At 45.2% G+C, this 24,099-nt stretch overlaps 1 protein-coding gene and 1 long non-coding RNA gene across 13 annotated transcripts in view; one reads left to right on the top strand and one right to left on the bottom strand.

Moving 5' to 3' along the window:
* HNF4A-AS1 (HNF4A antisense RNA 1) overlaps positions 1–22,867 on the top strand; it is a 38,963-nt gene extending 16,096 nt beyond the window's left edge. The window contains exon 3 of one of the 3 annotated variants that reach the window (NR_172878.1): positions 18,690–22,867. This is a non-coding gene — a long non-coding RNA (HNF4A antisense RNA 1). Of the gene's footprint in view, positions 1–1,726; positions 1,869–6,601; positions 7,484–18,689 lie in introns of those variants that run through there. The other 2 variants (NR_172879.1, NR_109949.1) reach the window with 2 other exon arrangements.
* HNF4A (hepatocyte nuclear factor 4 alpha) overlaps positions 1–23,912 on the bottom strand; it is a 78,898-nt gene extending 54,986 nt beyond the window's left edge. For all 10 annotated transcript variants that reach the window (NM_001287182.2, XM_047440138.1, XM_047440135.1 and 7 more), the window contains exon 1: positions 23,758–23,912. Coding sequence is in view for 3 of the 10 variants with exons in the window: in NM_001030003.3 (NP_001025174.1) it covers positions 23,758–23,806 (49 nt within the window). In the remaining 7 variants the exon portion in view is untranslated. The remainder of the gene's footprint in view (positions 1–23,757) is intronic.

Raw genomic sequence — 24,099 nt, 5'->3', positions numbered from 1 at the left:
TACTGCACTCCAGCCTGGGCGACAGAGCAAGACTATGTCTCCAAAAAAAACCAAGACAAACAAACAAACAAAACACACAATAAGAGACCACCTCACACCCATTAGGATGGATATTATAAAACAACAACAAAACAGACAATAGTAAGTGTTGGTGAAGATGTGGAGAAATTGTAACCCTTTTACGTTCCTATCACTGCTGGTGGGAACGTAAAATAGTGCAGCTTCTGTGGCAAGCAGTATGGCGGCTTCCTAAAAAATGAAAAATAGAACTATCATATGATCTAGCAATTGTACTCCCGAGTATATACCCAAAAGAACCAAAAGTAGCATCTGGAAGAGAGATTTGTATACTCAAGTTCATAGCAGCATTATTCATAATAGCCAAAAGGTACAGGCAACCCAAGTGTCAATCAATGGATGAATGGATCAATAAAATGTGGTATATGCATACAATGGAATATTATTCAGCCTTAAAAAGGATGGAAATTCTGACACATGCTACAACATGGATGGATCCTGAGGGCATTATGCTAGGGGAAAAGCTAGTCACAAAGAACAAATACTGTATGATTCCACTAGCCTACAGGAAAGTAGTCAAATTCACAGAGACAGAAAGTAGAAGGGGTTTGCCAGGGCCTGGGAAGAAAGGAGAACTATTTTCTTTTCTTTTCTTTTCTTTTTTTTTTTTTTTTGAGACGGGGTCTCTCTCTGTGGCCCAGGCTGGAGTGCAGTGGTGCGATCTCGGCTCACTGCAACCTCCACTTCCCGGGTTCAAGCGAGTCTCCTGCCTCAGCCTCCTGAGTACCTGGGATTACAGGCACGCACCACCACGCCCGGCTAATTTTTTTGTATTTTTAGTATTTATTTTGTATTTTTAGTAGAGACGAGGTTTCTCCATGTTAGCCTCCCAAGGGGAGCTATTTTCTAATGGGTACAGTTTCAGTGTGGGAAGATGAAAAAAGTTCAGGTGATGGATGGTGCTGATGGTTGTATTACAATGTGAATATATTTAATGTCTCTGAACTGTACGTTTAAAAATGGTCGGCTGGGCGTGGTGGCTCACACCTGTAATCCCAGCACTTTGGGAGGCTGAGGTGGATGGATCACCTTTGGTCAGGTGTTCAAGACCAGCCTGGGCAACATAGTGAAACCCTGTCTCTACTAAAAATACAAAAATCAGCTGGGTGCGGCGGTGCATGCCTGTAACCCCAGCTACTCGGGAGGCTGAGGCAGAAAAATCACTTGAACCTGGGAGGTGGAGGTTGTAGTGAGCCGAGATCACGCCACTGCACTCCAGCCGGGCGACAGAGTAAGACTCTGTTTCAAAAAAAAAAAAAAATACATGCATAAAAGATGTTTCTAAGAGTGCTAAAAAATGCCTACAAATTGATAAGGAAAGGTAAATAATACAATAGATAAATGGTCAAAGGATACAAACAAGCACACTCATAATGTAGGAAGCTCAAATGGCAAAAGAGCCTCTCCTTCTCTAGTAATAGAGGAAATGTAAATTTGAAAGTGAAGCATAATTTTACATTCAGTATCTTACAAAATCAAGTGCTGATGAGGTTGTAGAGCAACCAAAACTCTGTAACTATTGTTGGAAGTGGAAGTTGGCATTCAAGAATGAGCAATTTAGCAACATCTCTTAAAAGTGTTGATATCCACTGTCTAAGATACAGAAATTCCATCTCTGCATGTTACCTAGAGAAACTCTCATCCACAGGTATAAGAATAGTCTTTGGAGCATCATCTGAGATAGTGAGCCAAGATCGTGCAACTGCACTCCAGCCTGAGTAACAGAGTGAGACTCCATCTCAAAACAAACAAATAAACAAAACAGAATAAATATACTCAGGATATTTACAGACACTTTTATTTTATTTTTTGTTATTTCAACTTTGTTTTTTTTACCTGCCTCCCAGGTTTAAGCGATTCTCATGCCTCAGCCTCCCAAGTGGCTGGGATTACAGGTGCCCACCACCAGGCCTGGTTAATTTTTATATTTTCAATAGAGATAGGGTTTCACCATGTTGCCCAGGCTTGTCTCGAACTCCTGATCTCAAGTGATCCACCCGCCTCGGCCTCCCAAAGTGCTTGGATTACAGGCATGAGCTACCGCGCCCGGCTGCATGTGTTTTTAAACATTGCCTGGCCCGTTATTTCAACTTTTATTTTCGAATCAGGAGGTACACGTATAGGTTTGTTACAAAGGTATATTGCATGATGCTGGGGTTTCCAGTATGAATGAATTCATCACCCAGGTAATGAGCATGGTACCCAATAGGTAGTTTTTCAACATTTGCCCCCTCCCTCTCTAACCCCTTTGGTTTCTCCAGTGCCTATTGTTCCCATCTTTATGTCCATGTGTACCCAAGGTTTAGCCCCCACGTATAGGTGAGAACATATGTTATTTGAATTTCTGTTTCTGCATTAGTTTGCTTCGGATAATGGTTTCCAGCCATATCCATGTTGCTGCAGAGGACATGATTTCATTCTTTTTTATGACTGTATAGTACTTCATGGATACACAGCATTTTATCTATTTTATTTCTTTTTTATTTTATTTTTTGATAGAGACAGGGTTTCACCATGTTGCCCAGGCTGGCTCTTGAACTCCTGGGCTTAAGTGATCTACTTGCCTCGGCCTCCCAAAGTGTTGGAATTACAGGTGAGCCACTGCACCCAGCCTACACAGCATTTTAAATGAGTGGTCTGGTGCAACTTGTATCATCATGAAAAGATCCAGAGACCTATTATGAGGAGTAATAAAAGGAAGTTGCTGCAGGATATGTACAGTATATCATTTAAATAAATTTTCCAGATAAGCAAAATATTTTACTTTGCTTATATAGCCACGTATGGTAGAACTGTGAAAATGTGTCTGGTAATGACACATTACCAGATAAATACCAAATACACATGATAAATACCAAATGGTGACCATGATCACCACTGATAAGGGTGGCAGGGTGATGGGATCAGGAAGACAAGGGGCTTCAACTCTAAGTGTAATGTTTAATTTGTCATTAAAACAAACAAACAAACAAACAACATCCAAAGAAAACATGGTCATGTAGTAAGATTTGACAAAATTGAGAGGTGGATACATAAATGTTCATAATATTATTCTCTATACTTCTCTGCATATTTGTAATATTTCTTACTTTAAAAAAAGGAGAAATGAGATTATAAAAAAAAGTCAACCATCTTCCTACATACCAGCGACAGACAATTTGGTAGTATAATTTTAAAAATCATACAATTTGCACAATGACAACAATTTGCACAATGACAAGCAACCGTGGATAAAAATCTAGAAATCTATATATATATTTTTTTCTTTGAGACAGAGTCTCAGTCTGTTGCCCAGGCTGGAGTGCAGTGGCATGATCTCGGCTCACTGCAACCTCTGCCTCCCGGGTTGAAGCAATTCTCCTGCCTCAGCCTCCTGAGTAGCTAGGATTACAGGTGCATGCCACCATGCCCGGCTAATTACCATGCCCGGCTAATTTTTTTTGTATTTTTAGTAGAGACAGAGTTTCATCATGTTGGTCAGGCTGATCTCAAACTCTTAACCTCGTGATCCGCCTGCCTCAACCTCCCAAAGTGCTGGGATTACAGGCATGAGCCACCATGCCCGGCCCTAGAATCCTATTTTTTAAAAGCAACTAGGAGTATATCTAAGATATAGCATTTCTCTGTCTGAGAGCAGGGAGAGCTTGCATAGGTGTCAATGTCCTTCAAGGGACTCTTGAAACTAATTCAGGGCCCTATACACTGCAGGCATTTCTTGGAGTGGCCAAGGTATTGTCATGTGTTAAGAATTCTGAGAAGTTCTCGGATAATGAAATTTGTGCAGCTTTCTTTAATTCAGCAGTTTTCAAACATCTAACAATAGAATCCTTCTTGTCTGAGGGGCCTCGCCTTAGGAAAGGCTGCCCTAACAACCTCAAAGTTCCCTTCCAACACCCACAGTCCACCATTCTAGTCTTGGCTCTGCCACTAACTTACTGTATGACTTTGGCCGAATCACCTTTCCTCTTGGGGTCTCAGTTTGTTAAGTTATTAACACCCTGGGTGACAGAGCAAGACCCTGTCTCAAAAAAAAAAAACAAAAACATTTCCCTGGCAAAAAATTTATGACTAAATCCTCCAAAGCAATCGCAACAAAACCAAAAATTGACAAGTGACACCTAATTAAACTAAAGAGCCTCTACACAGCAAAAGAAACTATCAACAGAGTAAACAGGCAACCTACAGAATGGGAGAAAATATTTGCGAACTCTGAATCCAACAAAGGTCTACAAGGAACTTAGCAATTCTACAAGGAGCTAGAACCTACAAGGAACTTAAACAATTCAACAAGCAAAAAACAAAGAACCCCAACAAAAAGTGGATAGAGCACATGAACAGACACTTCTCAAAAGAAGATGTACAAGCGGCCAACAAAGATGAAAAAATGTTCAACATCACTAATCATCAGAGAAATGCAAATGAAATCGTGAGATACCATCTCACACTAGTCAAAATGATTATTAAGTTTCTTTTTTTGTCCCCACCCTTGATATCTGAAGAATGGCTGTCATTAAAAAGTCAAAAAAATAACAGATGTTGGCAAGGCTGTGGAAAAAAGGGAACACTTATACACTGTTGGTGGGAATATAAATTAGTTCAGCCACTGTGGAAAGCTATTTGGAGATTTCTCAAAGAACTTAAAACAGAACCACCATTCAATTTAGCAATTTCATGATTTGGTATATAACCAAAGGAAAATGAATTCTTCTACCAAAAAGACACATGCACTTATATGTTCTACACAGCACTATTCACAATAGAAAGACATCAGCCAAGCACAGTGGCTCACGCCTGTAATCCTAGCACTTTGGGAGGCCGAGGCGGGCGGATCACCTGAGGTCAGGAGTTCGAGACCAACCTGGCTAACATGGTAAAACTGTGTCTCTACTAAAAATACAAAAATTAGCCAGGCATGGTGGCACATGCCTGTAATCCCAGCTACTTGGGAGGCTGAGACAGGAGAATGGCTTGAACCTGGGAGGCAGAGGTTGCAGTGAGCTGAGATTGCGCCACTGCACTCCAGCCTGGGTGACAGAGTGAGACTCCATCTCAAACAAAACAAAACAGTAGAAAGACATGGAATCAACCTAAGTGCCCATCAGCAGTGGAATGGATAATGAAAATGTGGTACATATACACTATGGAATAGTATGCAGCCATAAAAGGGAACAAAACCTCAACCAAGTTCAAGGACAGTGTCAAAAAAATAAAAAAGGGAACAAAGTCGTGTCCTTTGCCACACCAGGAATGGAGCTGGAGGACCTCATCCTAAGTGAATCAACACAGAAACAAAAAAACAAATACTGCATGTTCTCACTTGTAAAAGGAAGCTAAACATTGGGTACACGTTGACATCAAGAGAGGAACAATAGACGCTGCGGACTTCTAGAGGAAGGGCAAGGGCTAAAAAACTCTCTGTTGGGTACTATGCTCACTACTTGGGTGATGAGCTCAATCATAGCCTAAACTTCAGTGTCACACAATATACCCATGTAACAAACCTGTACATGTACCCCCTGAATCTAAAATAAAAGTTTAATTAAGGCCTGGTGCAGTGGCTCACACCTGTAATCCCAGCAGTTTGGGAGGCTGAGGTAGGTGGATCACCAGAGGTCAGGAGTTCGAGATCAGGCTGGCCAACATGGTGAAACCCCACCTCTACTAAAAATACAAAAAGAAGCCAGGCATGGTGGTGCGTGCCTGTAGTTCCAGCTACTCAGGAGGCTGAGGCAGGAGAATTGCTTGAACCCAGGAGGCGGAGGTTGCAGTGAGCCGAGATCATGCCATTATTCTAGCCTGGGCAATGGAGCAAGACTGTCTCTGAAAAAACTAAAAAGTTTAATTTAAAAAAAAAAGGGTGTGTATAGTTTGATCTCTTACCTTTTCCCAGCCATAACACCTCATGTTGGACCCCACGTTTAGGGGTTTATTAGGGGCTTTTTAGGGGTTTGGTTTTATTTCTCCTCCCCCAGTTAACTGTTTCTTACTTAACTAAAGCAGGTTCATGGTAGAGGAATTACAAAAATGCAGAGAAGGATGATTAAAAAAGAATTAAACTAGGCTGGGTGTGGTGGCTAACACCTGTAATCCCAGTGCTTTGGGAGGCTGAGTTGGAAGGATCATTTCAGGCTAGGAGTTTGAGACCAGCCTGGGCAACACAGTAAGACCCCATCTCTACAGAAAATTTTAAAACTTAAAAAAATTAAAAAGTAAACGTTAGACAGGCATGGTGGTGTGTGTCTGTAGTCCCAGCTACTTGTGAGGCTTAGGCGAGAGGATGGCTTGAGCCCAGGAATTTGAGGCTGTAGTGGGTTTTGACTATGCCACTGCACTCCAGCCCGGGTGACACAGCAAAACCCTATCTCTTAAAAACAAATCAGATTTACTCCAAATGCCACTTTTGGCTCTTTATGATGACAGCTGACATTTATAGAGCCTTTATGTGCAAAGCGCAGTGGTAGGATATCTCGTTTCACTTCTCGTTGAAGTGGAAGTCAAGTCTATTCTTATCCTTATTTTACAGATGAGGAGACTGAGGATCAGAGAGATAAAGTCACCTGTCCAAGGTCATACTGTGGATGTAGCTCTAACCCAAGCCCTCCCGACTGCAGCACAAATTCTCAGCCACTACCCTATTAGCCCCTTCATTTGAAGGTGTCTTCATCATTGCCAAGATTCCTTTTCCTCCCGGCCCCCTAAGTCTTCAGGATTCCCTCATCTCATCTCCCCAGAGAAGCCATGACACCATCTTCTCCAAAAACAAAGTCAGCGCTTTCACTGTAGATGGACCTGTGTTCTTCCCCCAAACTCAGTCCACCTCATCTCCAGAAAAACTATATGACTTGCCCTGGAGAAGAGGGGGAAAAAAAAACCTCTTCCCACCAACTCCACCTCCCAAATTACTGGATTTGGGGTAAATTTACAGGCTGGAGACAGAAGAATGGATGTGTATTTAGCTTTCAAATTGACTATTGTTTTATGTGAATGTCTGATAAAGAAAACACAATGGCTGCCAGATGGGGCCTGGGAGTGAGATTTCCCATGTGGAGAATTCTAGAAGACATGCCTGGAGTTCTGGAGCCTGGATCCTCTGGACAGACAGGTGGCCAGCTAACCAGGGTGGAGGCACCAAAGATAACTGTGGGGTGGGGAGAAGACACCAGCCCAAGAGATTTGACTGGGATTGGTCTACGCAAGAATGGAAAATGGAGGCAGAATGAGTTAGCAGCAAGCACACGTACACTGCTATAGAATCTGAGGGACCCGGCCAGTGCTGGCCAATAGAAATAGAATGTGAGCCACAGACATAATTTAAACTTTTCTTGTAGTCACTTAAAAACATGGTAAATCTATGAAATAGAAGATTGCTCGTGCAAATAAATGAACTCTGCTTTGGTCTCAGTGATCAGGGGTCCCACACTCAAGTGCCCTCAATACCCAGAGAAGTAACTGAAATAAATGGAACAGATAGGGTGTGAGCAAAGTTCACACGTTCCTCTAAGAAAAACAATACAGCAAACATGGTGATTTATGTTCATTAATAAGTTTCCGTATGGGGACACTAAGGAATAGTGGGGACTACGGCAAATTAGAGGAAGCATGAGAATCTAAAGTGGCTCCAGGAGACTGTTGTCTCATAGGTATCAGTGTTGCTAGACCTTCACTTTTTTTAAAGGAGGTGAAAGTTGGGATTTTCTTTAATTTATTTTTTTGACAGGGTCTTGCTCTGTCGCCCAGGCTGGAGTGCAGTGGCGATCTTGGCTCACGGCAATCTCCACCTCCTGGGTTCAAGAGATTCTCCTGCCCCAGCCTCCTAAGTAGCTGGGATTACAGGCGTGCTCCAGCATGCCTGGCTAATTTTTGCATTTTTAGTAGAGATGGGATTTCCCACTGTTGGCCAAGCTGATCTCGAATTCCTGACCTCAAGTGATCTGCCCACCTCCACCTCCCAAAGTGCTGGGATTACAGGTGTGAGCCACCGGGCCCAGCCTCTAATTTTTGTATTTTTTGTAGAGACAGAATCTTGCTGTGTTCAAGACCAGCCTGGCCAACATGGCGAAACCCCGTCTCTACTAAAAATACAAAAATTAGCTGGGCAGTAGTGGCACGCGCCTGTAATCCCAGCTACTCCAGAGGCTGAGGCAGGAGAATTACTTGAACCTGGGAGGCGGAGATTGCAGTGAGCCCAGATCGAACCATTGCATTCCAGCCTCGGCGACAAGATTGAGACTCCGTCTCAAAAACAAAAAGCAACAACAAAAAAAATTGTTTGAAAGCCACTAATCTGCCCATAGCCTCTAACTTACAAGTAAGGAAGCTAAGGCCTACAAATGTCAAGTACCTGAGATCCTGTGTGTGTCAGGGCTAGAGCTGGGACCACAACCTGCTCCCAGCGCTGAGCCCTGCAGGCAGCTGGGTTTGCCTGGGAAGCTGCCCAGGGGAGCACCCAGGCCTCCCTCCAGTTTCTCTGGCTCTGCCCAGGGCAGGGCCGCCTGCTCTCTCCCTGTCTCCCCACCTCCTCTGCCCTTCGTCATGCCTGTTTTGACAACTTTCTGACCTGCTCCTTCACAAACTCTGCTGGAGGTATGGCTGCCTCCACTGCTTGTCCCAGAGAATACAGAGGCGTTGGCAGTTTGGCGGCCCAGGCTCAGCCAGGCCCATGGCAGACAGTCGTCAAACAGTGGCTGTCTGGGGAGAGAGAGGTCTGTTTACCCAGGGCAAGGCCCAGGCAGAGGCTGCCGTTTCCTCCCTCCACTACTGGCCCATCCAGCTGCTCACCCTACTGACTCAGCTGTCCCCATCTGTATTTGCTCATTCCGCAAATACTTATGGGGCGCCTACTGTGTGTCAAGCACTGTTCTACATGCTGGGGATACAGCAGGGGACAAGACAGCCTAACTCCCTGCTGTCATGGAACTTCTGTGAAGGAGACAGATGATAAACAGATCAAGGAATACGTAATTTCAGCGCTGTAGAGGATAATGGAATTGCTATCAAGGGATGGAGGTGGGGCAGGCTTAGATTTGGGTGTTCAAGGGAGGCTGCTCTGAGTGGAGGACATTTGAACTAAGGCCCTGACAATGAGAAGAAATCAGCTATGCAAAGATCTGGGGAAGAGGCATTCCTGGCAGAGAGAACAGCAAGTACAAAGGCCCAATGGCAGGAGTGTGCTTGGCGTGATTGAAGGATTGTCAAAAGGCCAGTGTGGCTGGGCGTTGTGGCTCACGCCTGTAATCCCAGCACTTCGGGAGGCCGAGGCGGGCAGGTCACAAGGTCAGGAGATCGAGACCATCCTGGCTAACACGGTGAAACCCCGTCTCTACTAAAAATACAAAAAATTAGCCGGGCGCAGTGGCGGGCGCCTGTAGTCCCAGCTACTTGGGGGGGCTGAGGCGGGAGAATGGCGTGAACCCGGGAGGCGGAGCTTGCAGTGAGCCGAGATCGCGCCACCGCACTCCAGCCTGGGTGAAAGAGTGAGACTCCGTCGCAAAACAAACAAACAAACAAAAAAAACAAAAGTCCAGTGTGGCTGACTGCAGTGACCAAAGGGAGAAAGACGAGAGACCATCAGACAAGAGTCAGAGCCTGTGAGAGCCTTTTGGTCAAAGAAAAGAGCCCAGGGCCGGGCGCGGCGGCTCACGGGAGGCCAAGGTGGACAAATCGCTTGAGGTCAGGAGTTTGAGACCAGCCTGGCAACATGGTAAAACCCTGACTCTATTAAAAATACAAAAATTGCTGGGCATGGTGACACGCGCCTGTAATCCCAGCTTCTTGGGAGGCGGAGGTTGCAGTGAGCCAAGATCATGCCACTGCACTCTAGCCTGGATGACAGAGTGAGACTCCAACTCAGAAAAACAAAAGAAAGAAAGAAAGAAAAAGAGCTCAGGTTGTATTTGAAGGGCGATACAAAGCTGTTGGAGGAGTTTCAGCTGGGATGTGAAACATGGCTGTACTCTGACCTTCTCTAACTCTGCCCCATTCCCTTCATGACTTCCTGTCCCAACTGTTTCCAGGTACATTTGAGATTGTTTGAAATAGCGTTTAAATATTTTCTTTTCCTTTTAAATTTTCATTTATTTATTTATTTTCCTTTCTCTTTTTTTGAGGCAGGGTCTCAGTCTATCATCCAAGCTGGAGTGCAGTGGCATGATGTTTGTTCACTACAGCCTCGACCTCCTGGGTTCAAACGATCCCCCCACTCATCCTCCCAAAATGCCAGGATTACAGCATTTTGAGCCACTGTGGCCGGCCCAGTTTTTTTTTTTTTTTTTTTTTTTTTTTTTGAGATGGAGTTTTGCTCTTGTTGCCCAGGCTGGAATGCAATGGCGTGATCTCAGCTCACTGAAACCTCCACCTCCCACATTCAAGAGATTCTCCTGCCTCAGCCTCCACAGTAGCAGGGATTACAGGTGCCCGCCACTATGCCCAGCTAATTTTTTTGGTATTATTAGTAGAGACAGGGTTTCACCATGTTGGCCAGGCTGGTCTCGAACTCCTGACCTTGTGATCTGCCCGCCTCGGCCTCCCAAAGTGCTGGGATTACAGGCGTGAGCCACCGTGCCCAGCCTCTTGTTTGTATTTCTAAACATCATGGTTATACTGACTTCTCAAGAAATCAAGACTTCTTGATTTTTTAGTTATAGACGTAATGTGTTAACTTGCTAGTAAGAAAGATCCTATACAACTATATCCCAATTTGGAGATAAATCAATATTTTAAATTGCATAACCACATTACTATTATGGCTATTACTCACAGCTGACTTTGTCTGTATGTGAACCAAGGTCTTTCCATGCACTGTTTCAATTAATCTTCACTGTAACATGGTAATGTAGCTTTGGTCAATATCATTAACAATACATACTAACATTTTACATTCAAGGAACTTTTTGCAGTTTGCAGGACACTCTTGCCTCTATCCCCTTGAGCAGCAGAGCTACCCTGAGGGGTAAATAGAACTAGCATTATTAACCCCATTTTCAGAGGAGGATGTGGATCCCAGAATGATACAGAAAATTCTACCCATCCCAGTAGGGCCCAGTGGTTCAAATAAAACCCATCTTCCTGGCAGGGCCTGGTGGCTCACACTTATAATCCCAGCACTTTGGGAGGCCGAGGCAGGTGGATCACTTGAGGTCATGAGTTCGACACCAGCCTGGCCAACATGGCAAAATCCCATCTCTACTAAAAATATAAAAATTAGCTGGGTGTGGTAATGCAAACCTGTAATCCCAGCCACTCAGGAAGCTGAGGCACGAGAATTGTTTGAACCCAGGAGGTGGAGGTTGTGATGAGCCAAGATGGTACCACCGCACTCCAGCCTGGGCCACAGAGTGAGACCCTGTCTCAAAAAAAAAAAAAAAAAAAAAAAATATATATATATATATATATGTATATACACACACACACACATATATGTATACACACACACACACACACACACACATATATATATATATTTATGTCTCAAAAAAAAAAAGCCCATCTTCCATCTAGGGAGGAAGGAGTTGGGGACCCTGGACAACTGCGTGAAGGAGAGATAAACTCTCCTCTCGTGTTTTGGGTTGATAAGCTGGTATTGCCTTTTCTAATACAATCCTTGATGTTGAATTCTAGCTCCGCCTCTCATGCGCTGCGTGGTTTTGAGTAAGCTATTTAGTCTCTCTGAGACTTTGTTTTCTCAGAAATGGGTATGATGACAGTACCTACCTCAATAGACGGTTGTGAGGATTAAAGGAGTAATTTATTTATTTATTTATTTTCTCACTTTGTAGCTCAGGCTGGTCTTGAACTCCTAACCTTAAGTGAGCCTCTTGCCTCAGCCTCCCAAAGTGCTGGGATTTAAGTGTGCGCCACCATGTCTGGCCAAGGAGTTAATTTTTTTTTTTTTTTTGAGACGGAGTGTTGCTCTGTTACCAGGCTGGAGTGCAGTGGTGCGATCTTGGCTCACTGCAACCTCCGCCTCCTGGGTTCAAGCGATTCTCCTGTCTCAGCCTCCTGAGTAGCTGGGACTACAGCCATGTGCCACACCCAGCTAATTTTTGTAATTTTAGTAAAGACGGCATTTCACCATGTTGGCCAGGATGGTCTCAATCTCTTGACCTCATGATCTGTCTGCCTCGGCCTCTCAAAGTGCTGGGATTACAGGTGTTAGCCACCGTGCCTGGCCAAGAAGTTAATTTTTTTTTTTTTTTTTTGAGACAGAGTTTCGCTTTTGTTGCCCAGGCTGGAGTGCAATGGCGCGATCTCGGCTCACCGCAACCTCCGCCTCCTGGGTTCAAGTGATTCTCCTGCCTCAGCCTCCCGAGTAGCTGGGATTACAGGCAAGCACCACCACTCCTGGCTAATTTTGTATTTTTGGTAGAGATGGGGTTTCTCCATGTTGGTCAGGCTGGTCTTGAACTCCTGACCTCAGGTGATCCACTCACCTTGGCCTCCAAAAGTGTTGGGATTACAGGCGTGAGCCACCGCACCCGGCCAGGAGTTAATTTTTATAAAGTGCTTAGAGTAGTACCTGGGCCATGGTGTTATACAAGGATGAAAAACAACCTAGTGCTAGAAAACAAATGAGCCGGGTCCCAGATCTGGGCCTTCTGATGCCAGGTTTAGTGTGTGGCCCCCAAGCCCTAGACACTTGTATTCCTCTTCATACAATTGTTACCACATCTGCCTTTTACCTGTACTTTATTTATCTATAATTGTTTACTTGATGTTTTCCTTTCTTTTGAAGATATACCTTAATTTTTAAAAGATATTTTATATTAATGCTTTAATATGCTATGTATAAATTTTTCTAACATACAATAAATGCACAAAGATTTAAAAGTGTTTGTGGACTACCTACAATTGGCCCCTGTACTTTGTGGGTTCACCTAATACAAAGTATGCTGTTTTTTTTGTTTTTTTCTTTTTGACACAGGATCTCGCTCTGTTGCCCAGGTTGGAGTACAGTGGCGTGATCTTGGCTCACTGCAATCTCCACCTCCTGGGTTTAAGAGATTCTCCTGCCTCAGCCTCCTGAGTAGCTGGGATTACAGGTGCGTGCCACCATGCCCAGCTAATTTTTGAATTTTTAGTAGAGATGGGATTTCAGCATGTTGGCCAGGCTGGTCTTGAACTCCTGACCTCAAGTGATCCGCCCACCTTGGGCTCCCAAAGTACTAGGATTACAGGCGTGTGCCACTGCGCCCGGCCAATAGGGACATTTTGAGAATTAGGAGTTAATATGTGTAAAACCCTAGTAAGTACTCTATAAATTTTTGCTATTATCACAACATCAAGCACAAATCCATAAATATACATAAATAAAACAAAAGTTTCAAAAACATACATATCTTACTCTTACTACATGAAATGCTCTATGATATTTTCTATTTTATTTTATTTCATTCTTTTGTTAAAATGTGAAATTTCATAAAGCGATACATTGATGATTTGTGCCTTTTTCTGTTTTGAATGTTATACTTCAGTAAAAATATTTTTTAAGTCCAGGTGTGGTGGCAATTTTTCTGCCTTGACCTCCCAAAGCACTAGGATTACGCTGTGTCACCCAGGCTGGAGTGTGGTGTTGTAATCTCGGCTCACAGCAACCTTCACCTCTTGGGCTCAAGCAATCCTCTTGCCTCAGCCTCCCGAGTAGGTGGGACTACAGGCGTGTACCACCAGGCCCAGCTAATTTTTGTGTTTTTTGTAGAGGTGGGTTTTTGCCATATTGCCCAGGCTGGTCTTGAACTCCTGGGGTCAAGTGATTCACCCACCTCAGCCTCCCAAAGTGCTGGGATTACAGGCATGAGCCACGGCGTCCGGCCAAATCTTACTTTAGTTATAACTTATTGTTTTAGTCTACTTATAGGTCTAGTAAATTTTAAGAATTTCATTTTCTCCAATATTTTACTTTGAAAAATTTCAAACTTTAAAGTTTGAAAGACTAGTATAGTGAGCACTGATGTATCCCTTCGCCTAAATTCACCAACTGGTTGCATTCTGTCACATTTGCTTTATTGCTATCTCTGTATCTATCTATGCACTTTTTTATTGAAACATTTTATGTAAAAAATTGTAAAGGCCAGGTGCAGTAGCTCACACCTGTAATCCCGGCATTTTGGGAGGCTGATGCAGGAAGATTGAGGACAGGAGTAGGAAACCAGCCTGTGCAACACAGCAAGACCTGTCACTACAAAAAAATAAAAATAAAAAATTAGCTGGGCATGGTGGCATGCACCTGTGGTCCCAGCTACTTGGGAGGCTTAGATGGAAGGATTGCTTGAGCTTGGGAGGTTGAGGCTGCAGTGAACCATGATTGTGGCTCACTGTAGCCCACATGACAGAGCAAGACCCTGTTTCAAAAACAACAACAAAACAAAAACAAACCAAAAAAAAAAGATACTTTTTTAAATTGTATATTTACACTTGTTATACATATTTAACGTGTGTGTGTGGAGGGACGTGTGAGCATGACCCTACTGCACAGACGATCAACTGTGTACCAACTAATTCACGCTCCCCTTTACAAACTTTACAGCTAGTCCCGCCCCGCTAGGGACCACATCTTCCAGACCCCCTTGCATTTGGCAAGGGCCATGTGACTAGTTCTCACCAATGGAATGTGAGTAGAAGTGAAAGTGTCTTTCTGGGCTAGGGTGACCTTAGGGGTCCCTGGATGACTATGCCACAGAGGTCAATAAACTTCTAACTTAAAGTCTGCATTTGCTTGTTACATAAGCTATATTGTCTGAACTAATATAATCCCAATAAATTGAAGGACCGGCTGGGCACGGTGGCTCACACCTGTAACCCCAGCACTTTGGGAGGTCGGGGCAGGTGGATCACGAGGTCAGGAGTTCAAGACCAGCCTGGCCAAGATGGTGAAAGTCCGTCTCTAGTAAAAATACAAAAAGTAGCTGGCCGCGGTGGTGGGCACCTGTAATCCCAGCTACTCAGGAAGCTGAGGCAGAGAATTGCTTGAACCCAGGAGGCGGAGGTTGCAGTGAGCCAAGATCGTGCCGCTGCACTCCAGCCTGGGTGACAGAGCAAGACTCCATCTAGAAAAAAAAAATAAAAAAAAAATTGCATGACCTATTCCTGGGTTAAGATTGCAGTTTGAAACACACTGGTGTGGTCTTCTGATTTTCCAAATATTTTTGAACTGTGGAGACCCTCCATTAAATATTTCATTTAAAAGTCAAAACAGAGTGCCGGGTGCAGTGGCATGAGCAGGTAATCCCAGGGGCTGGGAGGCTGAGGCGGGAGGATTGCTTGAGCCCAGGAGTTTGAGGCTAGCCTGGGCAACATAGCGAGACCCCTGTCTCTAAAATAAAATAAAAAGAAATATACAAAAGTCAAAAAGAAGTGTCTCTGATGGAGCCAGAGGTTGAAGGGTGGGGAGAGGCTAAGCCCTAGTCCATTTGAACACGTCCCTACCCACATTACCCTCAAAGGGAACCCTGCAGCATCTTTCCTGACTCTTAGGACCCAGGGAATACTGTGTGACAATGGCTGAGCCAGATGGTTGTCATACCTCCATTTCTCAAAAGAGGAAATGGAGGCTGGGTGCTGTGGCTTACACCTGTAATCCCAGCACTTTGGGAGGCCGAGGTGGGAGGATCACAAGAGGCCAGGAGTCCAGCCTAGCCAACATGGTGAAACCCATCTCTACCAAGACTACAAAAATTTGTCAGGTGTGGTGGCACACACGTGCAATCCCAGCTACTTGGGAGGCTGAGGCATGAGAATTGCTTGAACCCAGGAGGTGGAGGTTACAGTGAGCAGAGATAGAGCCACTGGGTGACATTGAGACTCTGTCTCAAAAAAAAAAAAAAAAAAAAAAGAGTAGATGGAGAAACAGCAGGAGAAGGACTTGAGTGAGGTCACAAACAGCTACCCAGGGCCAGGGCCAGAGCCATCTCCCAGGTCTCTGATGAGGATAGGTCTGTCCCCTCCCTTTCTATGCCTCTCATCTGCCTCCTCCTCTGTGAAGGAGCCACACAGGCCCCCATCTATGAACCAGCACCCCCAAGAGGAGACCCTGGGCATCCCAGGGCCCCAGAAGGCTTGCAACAAAGCCTTGTCCTTAGTCTCCAGCCAGAGACAGTTGCATCCTGGGACCAGTTATCTATTCCTTACTCATCTCTGTTGTTTCTACAACAGCCAAAATGATGCTAACACCTAGTAAGCATCCAGTCCTTTGCATATAGTAGATGCACACACTATAGGTATAATAATAATAATCGTTCAAATTCACATAGCACTTTCTATGTGCTAGACACTCAGCACTTTACAAATATTGACTTTATGTCTCACAACAACCCTGTGAAGTAAATGGTATTATCATCAACCCCATTTGACAGATGAGGAAACTGAGGCAAAAAAGATTGGGTCGGCCGGGCGCAGTGGCTCAGGCCTGTAATCCCAGCACTTTGGGAGGCCGAGGCGGGCAGATCACTTGAGGTCAGGAGTTCAAAACTAGCCTGGCGAACATGGTGAAACCCCATCTCTACTAAAAATAAAAAAAAATTAGCCAGGCATGGTGGCAGGCGCTTGTAACCCCAGCTACAATCCCAGCTACTCAGGAGGCTGAGGCAGGAGAATTGTTTGAACCCAGGAGGCAGAGGTTGCAGTGAGCCAGGATCATACCATTGCACTCCAGCCTGGGCAGCAGAGCAAGACTCCGTCTCAAAAAAAAAAAAAAAAGAGAATTGAGTCATTCACTCAAGGTCACACAGCTAGTAGGTGGTAGAAGGTGGTAAACTCCTTGGATGCTATTATGACATAATAGCTGAAAGAATGAAGATTTGGTGTCAGACTAGATTTTAATCACCTATTTGCAAGGCGATGCAGGGAAACGTGACTTAACAACTCTGAATCTCAATTTCTTTGTTTATAAAATGGAGATAATATTTCCTACTTGGATGGGTTATTGCAAGGCTTAAAAGGGAGAAAACATATCAAATAGCCAACATCTTGCCCATTACATAAAAGGGGCTTAAATGAAAACAAATTCCTTTCGTTATCATTGACCCATCCTTATGCTACAGGCATATGAGTCAGGAAAAATGGAAGGCACAATTCCTTCACTTAAGCATCTCAGCATGCTTTTTTTTTTTTTTTTTTTTTTTAAGACAAGTTTCCCTCTGTTGCCCAGGTTGGAGTGCAGTGGTACAACCTCGGCTCACTGCAACCTCCACCACCTGCGTTCAAGTGATTCTCCTGCCTCAGCCTCCCGAGTAGCTGGGATTACAGGCGCCTGGCACCACGTCCAGCTAATTTTTGTATGCTTAGTAGAGACAGGGTTTCACCATGTTGACTAGGCTGGTCTGGAACTCCTGACCTCAAGTGATCCACCCGCCTTAGCCTCCCAAAGTGCTGGGATTACAGGCGTGTAATCCACAATAAGCCACCATGCCCAGCCTCAGCATGCTTTTAGGAATAAGATTAATCAATCATGAAACAACCAGACAAGTCTCAAGATACTTTCAGTAAAGGATGGAATTAATTGCAGTCAAATATAAGTAAAATCAGAGCAGTGTGTGGCCAGGCTCCAGGCCTTTTCATATGCTGTTCCCTCAGCTGGGAACACTCTTCCCCACCGTCTCTTCTCCCGGCTGACTCCTGCTAAACCGAGGTTCCAGCTTAGATATCAGTCTACTCCTCCAAGGTCAAGAAGTCTGTGACCCCTTCCCCTTCTCCTAAGTCCCTCTGTATCCCACAGTGCCTTTGCTGTCCTTATCATGGCACTCTGTCTTTGGTTGCTGCTGGCTTGTCTGTCCTCCTGCCAAACTGAGCACAGTTTAAGATCTGAAGCAAAGTTGTTTTTTTTGTTGTTTTTTTTTGGTTTTGTTTTGTTTTGGTTTGGTTTTGAGACATAGTCTGACTCCTGTCGCCAGGCTAGAGTGCAGTGGCGTGATCTTGGCTCACTGCAACCTCTGCCTCTACCTGGTCTCTAACTCCTGACCTCAGGTGATCCACCCACCTTGGCCTCCCAAAGTGCTGGGATTACAGGCATGAGCCACCACGTGAAGCAAAGTTTTATCCTCCTGTGTTTCCCCAGTGCCTTACAAAATGTCTTAAATACCATAAGCCTCCAGTGGAAGATTGTTGAAGAAATGAACAAATGAACAATGAATTAATGAATACGGGAGGCTTCTGGGTTGAGGCAAGATGCACTCTGGATATTTAGTTCCTCTGTTTACTAAATGGGAGAAAGTAAGGCAATGGTTTCCATACCTCAACTGAACTGCATACCCTAAGTCACACAAGGAGCTCAAAAAATTACAGACTCTTGGAACTCACCCCAGGAGACTGATTCACTGGGTCTGGAGTGGAGCCCCAAAATTGTTTTAAAAAGTTTCCTATGTGCAACCAGGTTTGTGAATCATAGGGGCTGAAGACTGAATTGACGTAGGATGGGAAGGTGATGTGGGAGGGGAGATAGGGGAAGGGCTGGAGAGGGGCCATATTTTAAGAATGAAGGGTGGGAACAGCCATAGCCTGATATTGGACACGGTCCCATAGCCAGCCAGCATCTGGGGTCCTACTCGATTTTGGGCCTATCCACCCTTCACAAGGACACGGCATGTTTGTTATAGCTTCTATTACCTTTTCTCTTTCATTAGCTCATGGAATCTTCACAACAACCAAGGCTCATTTGATGGGTGAAGAAACTGAGGACCAGAGAAGTGAAGCAAAGCACCATCATCATAGAGCTTCAAGGGGCAGAGCCACATCACCAAACTGTCTCCGACAATGGCCTCTGATCTGTCCTCAAGCTGATGCTATTGGTCAAAGGGACTAGGCCTACATAGCTAGGAAAAATTAGGCTCACCTGGCACTTAAAAACAGATATACAGTATTGCCCTGATGGAAGATTGTTGACATCCCCTATCTCTTCACTTGTCCTGTTTAGAGCACTTGAAGATGCTGCTATTCCAGGCTACCTCAGCCCACCCCTTCTTATCCATCCATTCATCCATCTTTTCATCAACCCACTCATCACATCATTTGTCCATCCATCCTTCCCCTAACCACCTACCCATCTATCCAGCTACTTATTCATCCATTTATCACATGCACCTACATATCTTTCCATCCATCTACTTACCCATCCATGCATCATCCTCCACACCCAACCATCCACCCATAACATCTTTTTATTAATCCATCCACCCATCTATCCACCCAGCCATCTCCCCAGTTACTCATTCATTTGTCTCATCCATCCAGCTATTTCTCCCTCTATTCCATTCATGCATCCCTCCACCCATCTATCACATCCATTCATCACATCACATTCATTCATCAGTCCATTCACCTATCCACCCACCTAAACATACATTTATTCATCCATCCATCTTCCCATTCATTCATCCACTTAATTAATCTTCAATCAAGGTCTACATGGGATCAGGCCCTGTGGAAGGCTGGACTATAACAAAAAGAATGAGATAGATACAGACCTTTCCTTTAAGGAGATTCGAGGTACTTACGGAAATGAGCAACTACCAAAGAAGCAAAATAAATAACCAAGGGAAACTTGTTAAAGGGAAAATAAGGGTAGAAAAGTAATAAGGCCAGGAGTCAGGTTAGCACACAGATATGCATGTTTAGCATCTCATCCTCAGAGTTACTCAGGGTAGTACCAGATTGGCACTGAGCAAGATCCTGGCACTCAAAGCAGAACAACACAAGAGTCACAGTCTACTCTACTCCATTGTGGTAGACACTCCCCAGAACTACCTTGTTCTCCTATAACACAGTGGGGTTATATGTGCCCCAGGGTACATTTGGCTTTCTGGAGACATTTTTTCTTTGGCAAAACTGATGGGAAGAGATGTTACTGGCATCTGGGGAGTAAAGGCCAGGGATGCTGCTTAACATCCTACAGTGCACAGGACAGCCCCTCACCACAGAGAATCTTCCAGGCCAGAAAGTTAACAGTGCTGAGGCTGAGAAACTCATTTATACCAGAGCCTCAGTTCTGTTTGGAGCAGGAGTGTGCCACACCCCAAGAGAAAAATCACTGGTCTAGGTCCATCTTGGCTTTCCCATCTCTTTCCACTACATACTTGTCTTCCCAGCTTTCCTTGAACTAGGGGAGTCTGCCAGGAGGTTTCTGGGGAAGTTTTGCTTTTGGATAAAAGAAACAAGGGCACTGAGGAAAACCTCTTCTCCTCCTGCCTCCAGCTTCAGACACGTAAGTGCAGACATGACAGCTGAAGCTGGGACAGCCAGTTTGGGTTATAATGGGGCAAATACAAGGACCAAAGACAACGCAGTGAGGAGGGCAGAGAGGAAGGAAGGCAAGAGAGTGGGATCTGGCTGACATTGATGATCATCATTGTAGCGCTGTTTTAAGCCCATCATTTCACTCATCCAACAAATGCTTATTGAGCATTTCTTCTGTGCCAGTCACCATGTGAGACATAGTGAGACAAACAAGGCTGAACAAACTACCCAGGTCCCAGAACTCACGGAGTTTATAGTCTGGTGGGGCAGCCAGACACCACAATTCACACCAGCAACTATCTGATCAGAGCGATGACGAGAACCGCAAAGCCAAAACCAGTGTGCCGTGGAAGCACCGGAAGTCCAGGGAGGGCCAAGTCCACCCAGCATCACCACACCAAAGAGCAGCTCTTTAGAATCCTGCTAAAGCTCAAAAACATGAAACCACAACGAGGATTTCTTGCGTGCTTGCTCTGGACCCAGGACTGTTCTAAGCACTCATGGATCCTTCCATTTGATCCTCACAACAGCCATGTCTTCCTCTGCCTCTAACTGAGGCTCTGCTATGTGCCATGTCCCTGACCCACCAATGCACCTCTACTATAGTCATCTTAGGAGATGATTAATGTTATCCCCATTAGAGAACCCCAGAAGAAGATTTTTTGTTTGTTTTTTGTTTTTTTGTTTTGTTTTGTTTTTTTTGAGATAGAGTCTTGTTCTGCTGCCCAAGCTGGAGTGGCAGTGGCATGATCTCAGCTTAATGCAACCTCTACCTCCCAGGTTCAAGTGAGTCTCATGCCTCAGCCTCCCAAGTAGCTGGAATTACAGGCGTGTGCCATCATACCCGGCTAGTTTTTGTATTTTTAGTAGAGACGGGGTTTTGCCATGTTGGCCAGGCTGGTCTCGAACTCCTAATCTCAAGTTATCTGCCCGCCTCAGCCTCCCAAAGTGCTGGGATTACAGGCGTGAGCCACTGCACCCAGCCTGGGAGAGGGGTTTTGTTTCCTCGGAGCACTTGTTTCTTTTCTCAGAAAGCAAATTTTTCTTTTCTTTTTTTTTTTTTTCTGGAGCCTTCCAGCAGACTTCAGTAGCTCATTTTACAGATAAAACATGTGAAGCTCAGAGAGGGGTAATGATTTGACTCACAAGACCACACAGTTTTTTGTTTTGTTTTTTTTTTTTAAATAAGGTAGATCTAGGATGCTAACCCAGGTGTATTTTATCAAAAATATCAAATCAGGGTCTTTCAGCCACTCTCACACACATACACATAGGCACACATACACTGCAGTGAATGTTCCACTGCCCCAGGACAAAAGTGCTCATTTTTTGTGGATGTACTGCAAGGTCACTGGAGTTCTCCTTTCTCTGTCCAGCCATATCTGTGGCCTAGAGCAGAGGGCCAGCAACAGCTGGATTGTGTCAAGTCTCGAGTCAGATGACATTTTTTGTTTGTTTGTGTTTTTTTTTTAATCTTGAACCTTAGTTTTTTCTTCTGTCCTTGGAGATTACAATATTATTTATCTCAGACAGCCGTTTGGAAAATGAAACAGCTGTCTGAGAGATAATAGTAGAACATTCACTAACCCATTCATCCATCCATTCACCCACCTACCTGTCGATAGAAGCAACCATTCTAATAATTGCTGAATGTTTGCTATATAATGAGTATGACACAGGAGCAGAGATGAAGAGACATGAGGACATCCTACAAGGTGCAGAGACGTGGGAGACAGTGAAAGGCTGTCAGGTTATATTATTGTATCATCCTTTAAGAGACACTGTGGGGCCTTCTGTTCACCCCTAGCTTAGCCTTATGACCTGGGCTGTCCTTCCCCAGAAGCTGTCTGGCCCCTTTGAGAGACAATGTCTTCCCCTAGCCACAGGTTCAACCAAGTCATCCATTGGCATCTATACTCCAGGTCTTAAAATTGTGGATTAAGGGTGGCCTCACCCTTAATCTCCTCTATGCTATCTCCTCTAATCTCCCCGCTCTCTGGGAGATAGGTCCTGTTGTTATCTTCATTTTACAGATGAGGAAATAGGTTCAGAGAGGGGAAATGTCTTGCCCAAGGTCACACAGCTGGTGTGTGGGATGGGTTCCCAGGCTGTTGGTTTCTTCAGCCTCTGCCATTTCCAGTGCATCACATATTCCTGTTTGATGGGGGTCAAAGCAAAGAAGATTCTTCCTGACTAGAGTCAGGAGATCAGGCCCTGATTCTGTCATTCCCTGGCCCTCTGTCCTCAGCAATTGATGACATAAATGTTGATTGTGTCTTTGCAATGCACGTGGTATCAAGGGCTTTACATCCTTGTTCCCCACGGCATCCACCATGATCTTAAGACACATCCTAGTCCTGTCTCCACTTCAGAAAGAAAGCAAGAGGCACGTGAATGTTGAGCCGTGTGACAGAGTCACAACTAGACCCCGAGGTCTGCTGGATTCCAGAGACCAAGTTCTGTGCGGGTGTGTGATTTGAACAGGTTTATAAAAGGCACCCAACTTTTAAAAAATCCAAAATGTGTCCCCAAAAGATAAAACATTCTCTTGAATTTCCCTCCTCAGAAACAAACCTGTCACCAATTTTATTGTGTCATTCCACGAATTTTCTATGCGTGGAATGTACACGTATACGCGTGTGTACATATATACATCTATATCCGTTTCGCTATCAGCAACTACACAGTTCTTCAGTGTACCGTTTTCACTTAATTTAACTGAGAGGTTCTTCCCTGTCACACACAGATGTGCGTTGTTTCCTTGAACAATGGGATAGCATTCCACTGTAAAGACGTCTCACGCTTTATTTACCCGTCTTCCCTCTGCTGAGGGACATTGGGTTGCTTCCAATGTGGGGGTCACCCTAAGGAGTGAGCCTGAGCCTTTCACTCTCAGTAACACATGCTTTCTAGCCCTGCATCTGAGTTTCACACGTCCGCACAAGATATTCTCATTTTCCAACGCTCCACCCTGCGCGGCGCTTTCTACCTCCTCCCCATTATCCAGAGCCAACGGAGGTGCGGAGCGACCGAGCTGCCCGGTCCCACGCCCAGCTTGATAATGCACCAGCAACGTGACCTAGGCCCAGCAAGCCTCTCCTGGTGGACCTCAATTTGCCCCGCATCGAAACAGGACGGTGCTTCCAAGCCCCACCCTCTGTGGGGTTTTGGAAAGACCCCTGAGATGCATTCCCAGGAAGGCCTCTGGACAGACAAAATGAGCCAAGCCTCTGCCCCAGGGCTTCTCGGCCCCTCCCAGCACTTCTCGCACCAAGCAGGCCATGCCCCGGCTTGAGAGCTTAGGGAAGCGGTCACATTGCCTCCGTGGGGCTTCCTGCCCTTCCAGAGGAGCTCCAGGAGGAGCTTTGGGCCCGTAAGAAACACACGGGGAGGTGTCCCATGGCCTCCCAAAGCTGACCGCAGTCCCGCCCTGTCCAGTCTTCCCCCAGCCCCACTTACCGTAAGAACTCTCCACTGGAGCCCCGAGGGGCGCGTTCACGCTGACCATGGCCAAGCCCACCCAGCCGGAGAGCTGGGGGCATGGAGGAGCAGGGGCCCGCTCACAGCAGCAGCACAGCCACCAGGAGCCCGTCCACCAGGAAGGCGGTGAGTGCGGCCAGCTGCCACCGCCCGGTTATCTTATTGATTCTTCTAATCACCCAAGGTGGGTGGATACGTTAAAGAGTAACCAGTCACTTAGGGAACCCGCGGCTGGGGACTGTTGCTGTCTCCATGGCAATGGCGACCTGGCCAGACCTGAGGTCCACTCGGGTCCTAGTCCTGCACTCTGGGGTTAGGGGA

The sequence above is a fragment of the Homo sapiens genome, chromosome 20 (genome assembly GCF_000001405.40).
Source record: "Homo sapiens chromosome 20, GRCh38.p14 Primary Assembly".
NCBI lineage: Eukaryota > Metazoa > Chordata > Mammalia > Primates > Hominidae > Homo > Homo sapiens.
Note: the sequence above shows the minus strand (reverse complement) of the source record. Positions and strands in the feature narration are given on the sequence as shown.